At 44.2% G+C, this 11,373-nt stretch overlaps 1 annotated feature.

Moving 5' to 3' along the window:
* Positions 3,044-3,338: a silencer, noted in NCBI's record as "tiled region #13330; HepG2 Repressive non-DNase unmatched - State 18:Pol2". NCBI's record gives its function as "represses a minimal TATA promoter and a strong SV40 promoter by Sharpr-MPRA in HepG2 cells {active_cell/tissue: HepG2}" and the evidence as "EXISTENCE:reporter gene assay evidence [ECO:0000049][PMID:27701403]".

Raw genomic sequence — 11,373 nt, 5'->3', positions numbered from 1 at the left:
TGATCAGCATTTCCATTTCTGGGAAAATAAAAAGATTGAAAGCAGGGCCGGGCGTGGTGGATCACGCTTGTAATCCCAGCACTTTGGGAGGCCGAAGCAGGCGGATCACAAGGTCAGGAGATTGAGACCATCCTGGCTAACATGATGAAACCCCGTCTCTACTAAAAAAAAATTAGCCGGGCGTGGTGGCAGGCGCCTGTAGTCCCAACTGCTCGGGAGGCTGAGGCAGGAGAATGGCATGAACCCGGGAGGCAGAGCTTGCAGTGAGCTGAGGTCGCGCCACTGCACTCCAGCCTGGGTGAGAGAGCAAGACTCCGTCTCAAAAAACAAAACAAAACAAAAAAGATTGAAAGCAAAGTCTCAAATAGGTTTTGTACACCTGTGTACATAGCATCATTCACAATAGGTAAACTCTGGAAACTACTCAGGTTTTCATCAACAGATGAATAAACAAAAGGAAGTTTATACATACAAGAGAATATTACTGAGTCTTACAAAGTAAGGAAATTTACAAATATGCTGCAAGATGAACCTTGACGTGCTAAGTGAAATGGGCCATTCATGTAAAGACAATACGGTATGATTCTACTTATATCAGGTATCTAGAGTAGTCATATTGATAGAAAAAGTACAATACCATTTGCCAAAGGTTAGGGAAATTGGGTAATGGATAGTTATTTCATGGGCATAGAGTTTCAATTTTGCAAGATAAAAAGGGTTCCAGAGGTGGATGGTGGTGATGGTTGCACACTAGTATGAATGTTCTTAATGGCACTGAACTGTACACTTAAAATTGATTATGATGGTGAATTTTATGTATGTTTTACACACAAAAAAGGGAGAAAAGACCACAGTACTGCATAGACCTTGTGGGACCTTCAGCATACCAAGACACTCTAGGTCTCTCTTTTTTTTTTTTGAGATAGGGTCTTGCTCTGTCGCCCAAGCTGGAGTGCAGTGGTGAGATCTTGGCTCACTGCACCCTCTGCCTCCCAGATTCAAAGGCTTCTCATGCTTCAGCCTCTTGAGTAGCTGGGATTACAGGTGCGCACCACCACACCCAGCTAATTTTTGTATTTTTAGTAGAAACGGGATTTCGCCATGTTGGCCAGGCTGGTCTTGAACTCCTGATCTCAAGTGATCTGTCCGCCTCGGCCTCCGATAGTGCTGGGGTTACAGGCGTGAGCCACTGCGCCTAGTCTCTAGGTCTCTTTCCTACTTGTTCTCAGCACTGTTTTTTTCGTTTTTCTATCCATGAGGGACCTGTTCCTACACAGTCCATTTGGATTTTAGTAGGCATTTAGATTTGATCCCCAGGATTGACTTCCCTGTCTCCTCCCCCCTTCACTGTAGACCTGGACCTCACTCCCAGACCCAGGGCCTATGATAACCACTTCCCTTTATTGAAGAGGGATACTTTTAATTTCCTCTGCACACTATTCACAGACATGTATATCAAATATATATCTGATAATTTAAGCAAATAGAAATTCTTTGCTCGGAAATCTTTAAGAATATGAGAAGAAATAGCAGCATATAGTGTCCAGAAAAGGTGGGAGAGAACTTCTTAGGTATGGAAAGTTTATGTAATAGGTAATGTGTAACTATTTACCACTAATTCTGTACCTGGGGTAAAGGTGGTGTTCAAGAAATGGAGAGCCAGGCCTGGTGTGGTGGCTTATGTCTGTAATCCCAGCACTTTGGGAGTCCGAGGCAGGCAGATCACTTAAGGCCAGGAGTTCGAGACCAGCCTCGCCAACACAGCGAAACCCTATTTCCACTAAAAACAGAAAAATTAGCTGGGTGTGGTGGTGCACACCTGTAATCCCAGCTACTTGGGAGGCTGAGGCAAGATAATTGCTTGAACCTGGGAGGCAGAGGTTACAGTGAGCTGAGATCACGCCACTGCACTCCAGCCTAGGTGACAGAGCCAGACTCCATCTCAAAAAAAAAAAAAAAAAAAAGCAGTGGATAAATAAGTCACTGCTTGCACAATAAAGAAATAAATGGGCCAGGCACAGTGGCTCATGTCTGTAATCCAGCACTTTGGGAGGGTAAGGCGGATGGATCACGAGGTCAGGAGTTTGAGACCAGCCTGGCCATCATGGTGAAACCCCAACTCTACTAAAAATACGAAAAATTAGCCATGCATGGTGGCTGACGCCTGTAATCCCAGCTACTCAGGAGGCTGAGGCAGGAGAATTGCTTGAACCCAGCAGGCGGAGGTTGCAGTGAGCCAAGATTGCACCACTGCACTCTAGCCTGGGCGACAGAGTGGGACCCCATCGCAAAAAAAAAAAAAAAAACAAAAAACAACTCTGCAAGGAAATGAAGCAAGTGATCCCTCTTGGAGTGGATTTCATGAAGTACCTTTAAATGGCAGAACATCAGGTTTCCATTTCCAAAATTATTTTTCTTCATGCTCTGACTGAAATAGTGACTGGTGTTGGAGAAACGGGTGGAAGATAGCGTAATAAACCAAATTGTTCTTTCTAGTGGGGAAAGCATGAATCACCCAAAACTAATAATCACGGAATTTACTTACATGGTATGGAAGAATAAGCAACCATAGAAGAAATCAGAATAGTTGTCACAGAACTAATTTACAAGCATTAGTGCTGTTTCCCAGGCCAGGTTCTATCTTGTTCTCAAGGAATAGTTACATCTTCAGTGTAAATTATGGGTACCATTGAGAGAAGTTTTACTTTCTACTTTATGAAAATGATGATGATGACAATAATACCGCAACATGAGTACTGCTAATGGAAACACTTTATGCCCAGGCACAGTGGCTCACGCCTGTAATCCCAGTACTTTGGGAGGCCGAGGTGTGCAGATAGCTTGAGGTCAGGAGTTCAAGACCAGCCTGGCCTACGTGGTGAAACCCCGTCTCTTATTAAAAATATAAAAATCAGCCGGGTGTGGTGGTACACGCCTGTAATTCCAGCTACTCGGGAGGCTGAGACAGGAGAATCGCCTGAACCTGGGAAGCGGAGATTGCAGTGAGCTGAGATCATGCCACCGCACTTCAATCTGTGTGACAGAGTGAGACCCTGTCTCAAACAAAACAAAGCAAAACAAAACGCTTCAGACAGAATTACTGTCAAGCACGTCACGATGCACCTTCTGTGGGTTATCTTACTACATTTTACCTGTCTACTGATGCCCCAGCGTGGCCACAGCCTGAACTGCAGCACCTTCCTGCAGATACCCCTTTTTTAGTGAACAAGTAAATGCTGCTTCTAGTCCCCTTGGTACTAGGTCTGTGCAGAGCACAGAGAAAGATGAATCCAGCCAGAGACTGCCCCAGAGTAACTCCCAGAGGTGGAATGAGTGAGATAATGCTGGGATTGAGATGTTTGATGTAATCTCATGTCTGTTTTTGCTTTTGCTGCCCGTGTGTTTGAGTTCTTATCCACAAAGTCCTTGCACAGACAAGGTCATGTAGAATTTTACTGTTTTCCTTTAGTAGTTTTACAGTTTCAAGTCTTACATGTAAGTCCGTAATCCATTTTGAGTGGATTTTTGTATATGGTGAAAGATAGGGGTCCAGTTTCAATGTTCTGCATGTTGATAATCCAGTTTTCCCATCACCATTCATTGAAGAGACTGTCCTTTCTCCAGTCTGTGTTTTTGGCACCTTTGTCAAAAATCGTTGGTAAGTGTGTGAATTTATTTCTGGTTTCTCTATTCTGTTCCACTGGTCTGTCTATGTTTATGCCAGTACGGTGCTTTTTTGGTTACTTTAGATTTGTAGTCTATTGTGAAGTCATACTCAAGATTGCTTTGGCTATTTTTGTGGTTCCATATGAATTTTAGGATAATTTTTTCGATTTCTGTGAAGTATGGCTCTTGTATTTTGATAGGGATCACACTTGAATCTGCAAATTGCTTTGGGTGGTATGGACATTTGAAGAATATTCTAAGCTGGGCATGGTGGCTCACATCTGTATTCCCAGCACTTTGGCAGGCAGAGGCAGAAGGATCACTTGAGCCCAGTAGTTTGAGACTAGCCCAGGAAACAGTGAGACCTCGTCTCTACAACAAATTTTTAAAAAATTAGCTGGGCGTGGTGGTGTGTGCCTGTAGTCCCAGCTGAGGCAGGAAGGTTACTTGAGCCCGGAACATCAAGGCTGCAGTAAGCTGTGATCACAGCACTGCACTCCAACCTGGGGTGACAGAGTGAGACTCTGTCTCAAAACAAAAAAAAAAAAAAGAAAAGAAAAATATTAATTCTTTCAGTCCATGAACACAGAATATCCTCCTATTTATTTGTGTCCTCTTCAATTTATTTCACCGGCATTTTATAGTTTTTATTGTAGAGCTCTTTCACCTCTTTGGTTATATTTATTCCTAAATATTTTATTTTTGTAGCTATCATCTATGGAATTGGTTTCTTGATGCCTTTTTCTAATAGTTTGCTGTTGGCATATAGAAACACTACTGAATTTTTTTTTTTTTTTTTTTTTTTGAGACAGAGTCTCGCTCTCTTGCCCAGGCTAGAGTGCAGTGGCACGATCTCGGCTCACTGCAACCTCTGCCTCCCAAGTTCAAGCGATTCTCCTGCCTCAGCCTCCCGAGTAGCTGGGACTACAGGCATCTGCCACCATGCCTGGCTAATTTTTTTTTTTTTTATATATTTTTAGTAGAGATGGGGTTTCACCATATTGGCCAGGCTGGGGCCACTACTGATTTTTATATGTTGATTTTCATATCCTTCAACTTTGCTGCATTTGTTTTAGTTCTAACAATTTTTTGGTGGTGTCTTTAGGGTTTTCTTTTTTCTTTTTCTTTTTTTTTTTTGAGACAGAGTCTCGCTCTGTTGCCAGGCTGGAGTGCAGTGGCACGATCTTGGCTCACTGCAGCCTCCGCCTGTCAGGTTCAAGCAATTCTCCCGCCTCAGCCTCCTGAGTAGCTGGGATTACAGGCGTCTGCCACCACGCCCAGCTAATTTTTGTATTTTTAGTAGAGACGGGGGTTTCACCATGTTGGTCAGGCTGGTCTTGAACCCCTGACCTTGTGATTCACCCGCCTCAGCCTCCCAAACTGCTGGGATTACAGGCGTGAGCCACCGTGCCCGGCAAGGTTTTCTATATATACAATCTTGTCCGCAAAAATGTAATTTTACTTCTTCTTTTCCAATTTGGTTGGCTTTTCTCCTTCCTTCCCTCCCTTCCTTTGTTGTTCTTTTTTGTCTAATAATTCTGATGAGGGCTTCCAATACAACATTGACTAGAAGTGGTGGGAGTGCTTATCTTATTCCAGATCTTAGAGAAAAAGCATTCCATTTTTTTCCTGTTCAGTATGATGTTTGCCGTAGGTTTGTCATATAAAGCTTTCATTGTGTTGAGATATGTTCCTTCTATACCTAATTTGTTGTGAGTTTTTTTTGTTTTGTTTTGCTTTGTTTTGTTTGAGACGGAGTCTCACTCTGTCGCCAGGCTGGAGTGCAGTGGCACGATCTCAATTCACTGCATCCTCTGCTTCCTGGGTTCAAGTGATCCTCCTGCCTCAGCCTCCCGAGTTGCTGGGACTACAGGCATGTGCCACCACGCCCAGCTAATTTTTTGTATTTTTAGTAGAGATGGGGTTTCACCATGCTGGCCAGGATGGTCTCGATCTCTTGACCTCATGATCCCGCCTCGGCTTCCCACAGTGCTGGGTTTACAGGCATAAGCCACTGCGCCCGGCCCTGTTGTGAGTTTTTATCATGAATATATGGAATGTTATCAAGTCATTTTCTGCATATATTGAAATGATATTTTTTTCTTGTTGATTCTGTTACTGTGATGTATCACGTTTATTGGTTTCCATATGTTGAACTATCCCTACACCCATGGGATACATCCTACTTGGTCAGGGTGAATGGTCTGTTCAATGTGCTGTTGAATTCAGTTTGCATGTATTTTGTTGAGGATTTTTACATCTATGTTAATCAGGGATGTTGGCCTGTACTTTTTAGTTGTGTTTGTTTGGTAGAATTCAGCAGTGAAGCCATCAGGTCCTGGGCTTTTCTTTGATGGGACACTTTTTATTACTGATTTAACCTCATTACTTCTTATTAGTCTGTTCAGATTTTCTATTTCTTCACGACGCAATTTTGATAGGTTGTACGTGCCCAGGAATTTATCTATTTCTTCTAGGTTTTCCAATTCATTGGTGTGTAGTTGTTCATAATAGTCTGTTTTATAATTCTTTCTATTTCTTTAGTATAAGTTGGAATGACCCTGTTTTTTTTGTTGTTTTGTTGTTGTTTTGAGACAGTCTTGTTCTGTCGTCCAGGCTGGAGTGCAGTGGTGCGATCTCCGCTCACTGCAACCTCCCCGTCCCGTGTTCAAGTGATTCTCCTGTCTCAGCTTCCTGAGTAGCTGGGATTACAGGCATGCGCCACCATGCCCAGCTAATTTTTTGTATTTTTAGTAGAGACGGGGTTTTACCATGTTGGCCAGGCTTGTCTTGAACTCCTGACCTCAAGTGATCCTCCTTCCTCAGCCTTCCAAAGTGCTGGGATCATAGGCGTGAGCCACCACACCCAGCCAACTCCTTTTTTTTCTTTTTCTTTTCTTTTCTTTTTTTTTTTTTTGAGATGAAGTCTCGCTCTTGTCTCCCAGGCTGGAGTGCAATGGCACGATCTCAGCTCACTGTCACCTCTGCCTCCCCAGTTGAAGCGATTCTCCTGCCTCAGACTCCCGAGTAGCTGGGATTACAGGTGCCCGCCACCAAGCCCAGCTAATTTTTGTATTTTTAGTAGAGACGGGGTTCACCATGTTGGCCAGGCTGGTCTCGAACTCCTGACCTCAGGTGATCCACCCGCCTGGCCTCCCAAAGTGCTGGGATTATAGGTGTGAGCCACCATGCCCGGCCAACTCCTTTTTTTTCACATCTGAATTTCTTTATTTGAATCTGCTATTTTTATCTAGTGAGTCAGGCTAGAGCTTTGCTGATTTTACCTTTTTAAAAAAACTCTTCATTTTGTTGATCTTTCTTTCTTTTTTTTTTTTTTTTTTGAGACAGAGTCTTGCTTTGTCACCCAGGCGGGAGTGCAGTGGCGCGATCTCGGCTCACTGTAACCTCTGCCTCCCAGGTTGAAGTGACTCTCCTGCCTCAGCCTCCGGAGTAGCTGGGACTACAGGCACCTGCCACTATGCCTGGCTAATTTTTTTTTTATGTATTTTTAGTACAGACGGGATTTCAACGTGTTAGTCAAGATGGTCTCGATCTCCTGACCTCATGATCCGCCTGCCTTGGCCTCCCAAAGTGCTGGGATTACAGGCGTGAGCCACCACGCCTGGCCTTGTGTTGTTTTTTCATCTCTATTTCATTTATTACAGCAAATACTACTACCTCACCAGTGTGGTTGCCCAGATGATTTATGATGTTAATAAGCTATAGCAACTCAAAGATAACTTGTGCTAATCATGAGAATCACTCTGTATCCTGCCAACTATACCAATTGTAATAATTTAGGATCTTTAAAATGGAGAGCACCCTTTCAATGATTACGAGAGACATAAGATGGAAATAAGGATTTTATTACTTACAGGTCCTGGAGGATACACAGTATACACGGAGGCCACACACACAGAGGGACCACATGGAGAGAAAGGGAGAAATGGATGAACCCATGGGTCAGTACCTTTATTAGAGTCCAGGGTGTTACCGAAAGTTTCCCCTAGGGATACAGCCGGGCGAGGTGCCTCACGTATGTAATCCCAGCACTTTGGGAGGCGAAGGCCGGTGGATCACGAGGTCAGGAGATCAAGACCATCCTGGCTAACACGGTGAAACCCCAACTCTGTTAAAAATAGAAAAAATTGGCCGGGCGTGGTGGTACGTGCTTATAGTCCCAGAGACTTGGGAGGCTGAGGCAGGAGAATTGCTTGAAGCTGGGAGGTGGAGGTTGCAGTGAGCCGAGAGCATGCCACTGCACTCCAGTCTGGGCGACAGAGCGAGACGCCGACTCAAAAACAAACAAACCAAAAAAGACACAAAAGTTTCCCCTAGGGAATTTTAATTGATGGGTTTAAAGCAAGCAGGCACAAGTTCAAGGAGATCACAGTGTGACTGAGAGGTGGTTACTGTAGCACACCTACACAGTTCATATGAAGCGTGGGGGTCAGTGAGGCCAGTATGAACGTTATATCTGGCTGTCCTATAACGAGGTGGTCACTGGGTATCAGTTGTCTAAGGCAGATATATGGATTCACTACATTAAGGAACTGGGAGGAGGTGGAGAACTGGAAACAGTGTTAACAGTGAATAAACCCTGCTTCTCCTATGAGAAAGTTAAACTTGTATTTAAAATGGATGTCAAGGCAACATAAAATTATAAGAATTCACTACAAGTTTTGAGAATCAGTGAAATCCAACCATGGTTCACAGGGTTAATCGCTTTCTTAACAACCTATGAAAGTTAAATCAGCCAGGCACAGTGGCTCACGCCTGTAATCCCAGCACTTAGGGAGGCTGAATCAGAAGAACTGCTTGATTTCAGGAGTTTGAGACCAGCCTGGGCAATATAGTGGGACCTCATCTCTACCAAAAATTTAAATATTAGCCAAACATGTTGGTGCACACCTGTAGTCCCAGCTACTCAAGGGGTTGGGGTGGGAGGATTGCTTGAGCCCAGGAGGTGGAGGTTGCAGTGAGCCAAGATTAAGCCACCGCACCCCAGCATGGGTGACAGACTAAGACCCTGTCTCAAAAACAAACAGAAATGGTAAATCATGTAAATAAAAGCAAACAACATGTTATTTTTATATCTATTAATTGCATATAGTCCTCCAGAAAACCGATTTGAGTCATTTTCCAGAAAGGGAGTCAGTGGAGCTCCTTGTAGTGAGGGCACGTTAATATCTGTATACTCTCCCTGGGGTGTGGATGTTTTAGGGTTGTGCTGAGATCTCCAATGTTTACAGCAGGTTGATGGTCAGCTTAAAATATTCTGTGTTGGCTGGGCGCGGTGGTTCATGCCTGTAATCCCAGCACATTGGGAGGCTGAGGCGGGTGGATCATTTGAGGTCAGGAGTTCGAGACCAGCCTGGCCAACATGGTGAAACCCTGTCTCTACTAAAAATGCAAAAAAATTAGCAAGGTTTGGTGAGGCATGCCTGTAATCTCAGCTACTCTGGAGGCTGACCAGGAGAATCGCTTGACGTGGGAGGTGGAGGTTGCAGTGAGCTGAGATCATGCCACTGCACTCCAGCCTGGGTGACTCCATCTCAAAAAAAAAAGTGAGACTCCATCTCAAAAAAATAAATAAAATAAATTTTCTGTGTCCTCAATGATCAGGTGGTGACACAGGTTTGGGGGAACAGAAGCAAATACAATGAATGAGGTTCCTACTCAAGATATCACAGTCTATCCTGGAAGACAAATGCAAATGATTATATCAGAGGATCTGAGAGAATCACAGGTGTATTCAACCTGAGTCCTCTTTGAAAGGGACAGTTATTTATACAATGCTTAATGTTTAGCTACAGAAATAATTGGGTGGGTCAATGGTGGTGGGGTGGGGTTGAGAGAGATTCAGATGGATAAACTGGACATGAACATCCCCAGCCACAGAGCACCTGGTGACAACCATGTACTGTGAAGGTCAGGTGGCCACTGAAACAGAGAAAAAAGGGAAGAGCTCACATTTGATTAGTTCTTTTCATAAGTGTTAATGTGAAAATAATAGTTCGCTAGCATCTTTGTTTTCTAAAAGGAATGCTTATTTGCCAATTTTAAAATATATTTATTTAAATCTTTTTAGAGACAGAGTCTAACTCTGTTGCCCAGGCTGGAGTGCAGTGGCACAATCTTGGCTCGCTGCAGTGCTGACCTCTTAGGCTCAAGTGATCCTCCTGCCTCAGCCTCCTGAGTAGCTGGGACCATGGATGCGCATCACCATGCACTGCTAAGTTTTTAAATTTTTTTCTAGAGGTGAAAATCTATGCTGCCCAAGCTGGTCTTGAATTCCTGGGCTCAAGCGATCCTCCCACTGCAGCCTCCCAAAGTGCTGGGATTACAGGCACAAGCCATTACTTACGCCCACTCCAGTGTTTTAATCCATATAAAATATTTTAAGATTTTCTTCCTCTGATTTGTATGTAAACACAGGAGGAAACGTAGGACTTTGCTGGTTTCTTTCTCATACAGTACGATAGAGAGTCTTTGTCTCATGTAGCTGATCAGTGCTGGTGAGAAGCAGGTGAAGAACCTGCAGTGGGCAGCAGCGCCTGCAGCCAGTGACTCCAACCTGAGGCCAGTCTGGAGCCTGCAAAGGGAGGGAAATGGAGCTCCTCATGTGGCTTTCTGGGCAGCCTGTTGTCTCCGTAGGTGGCCTCTGGTTGCTCAGAACAGCTACAGGAGTGCAGATTCTGAGAAGCAGAGCCCTGGAAAGCAAAAGATTCATGTGAAGACATGCTTGGGGTGTTCTGTCCTTTCTCAGGCTAACTATTTTCTGGGCAATGTGTTTGTTTTGGCATACATAGGGTCATTGTGGTCCAACTGTAATTTGTATATGTGAAGTAAATCTGGCATGGTCAGGCTCAGATAAAGACTCATTTTGGAGAAAGGATTTATGTAGCTGATAGTTTATGTAGGTTAGAATGTTAAACTGACTCCAGGTAAGAGTCTCCTGCAGGTGTAAATGAAGGTCTTGAAGGAGGCAGCTTTTCCACACTGTGTGGAGGGTACATAAGGGCATGTTGAGCTCCCAGAGTTAAATCCTTAGGTTTCCCTACCTCATCAGGAGGGTCTGATCGACCTGGGCATCCATTTCAGTAGTCAAGAGTCTGACTCCCAAGATTAAGAATATGTTAAACCTGAATGCAGGTGTTCCTTGTGAACTGTGGGTGAAGCCTGCTTGCCTGAGCTAGTTCAAATGTTTGCTTTCCTTTTGATTCCTTTATGGAATAATGCTGCCATATAACTATGCATTTAATAATTTTTCCATGCCTTTATTAATTTTATTCCCACGTTGGCATGGTTTTTGTTGTTGTTGTTTTTTTTTCTGGGCTGAAAATGAGTAGACTAAGAGATAAGGTGAGAAAATGGCTTGGCCATGGCACCAACTGCCCCATCCCAAATTCCTGATCTCTGGAGGACATCAGGCCCTCCCTGCTGTTCCAGTGTGGCCTGGTTTGGACTCGGCTTCCTTTTGCTTTGAGGGAAGGAGATGTCTCCATTGGACACTGAGTCTGGAATTCCTTCTGCTCATCTGTGACCTGGAAGAGGGAGAAAGGGCCCACCGAGTACAGGAAGAGGCCAGTAGTAGTAGCTCTGGAAAGCCTGTGGACAATTGTGTTGATGCCTCCAGCGGAGCCTGATTTGGTTGCCTGGAGGAAGCTGGGCCTGCTATTGGCTGCGGTTACAGCCTATCCCTGC

Source organism: Homo sapiens, chromosome 19 (genome assembly GCF_000001405.40).
Source record: "Homo sapiens chromosome 19, GRCh38.p14 Primary Assembly".
In the NCBI taxonomy this organism is placed as follows: Eukaryota; Metazoa; Chordata; class Mammalia; order Primates; family Hominidae; genus Homo; species Homo sapiens.
The sequence above is the reverse complement of the archived record's forward strand: the minus strand, read 5'-3'. Positions and strand labels throughout refer to the sequence as shown.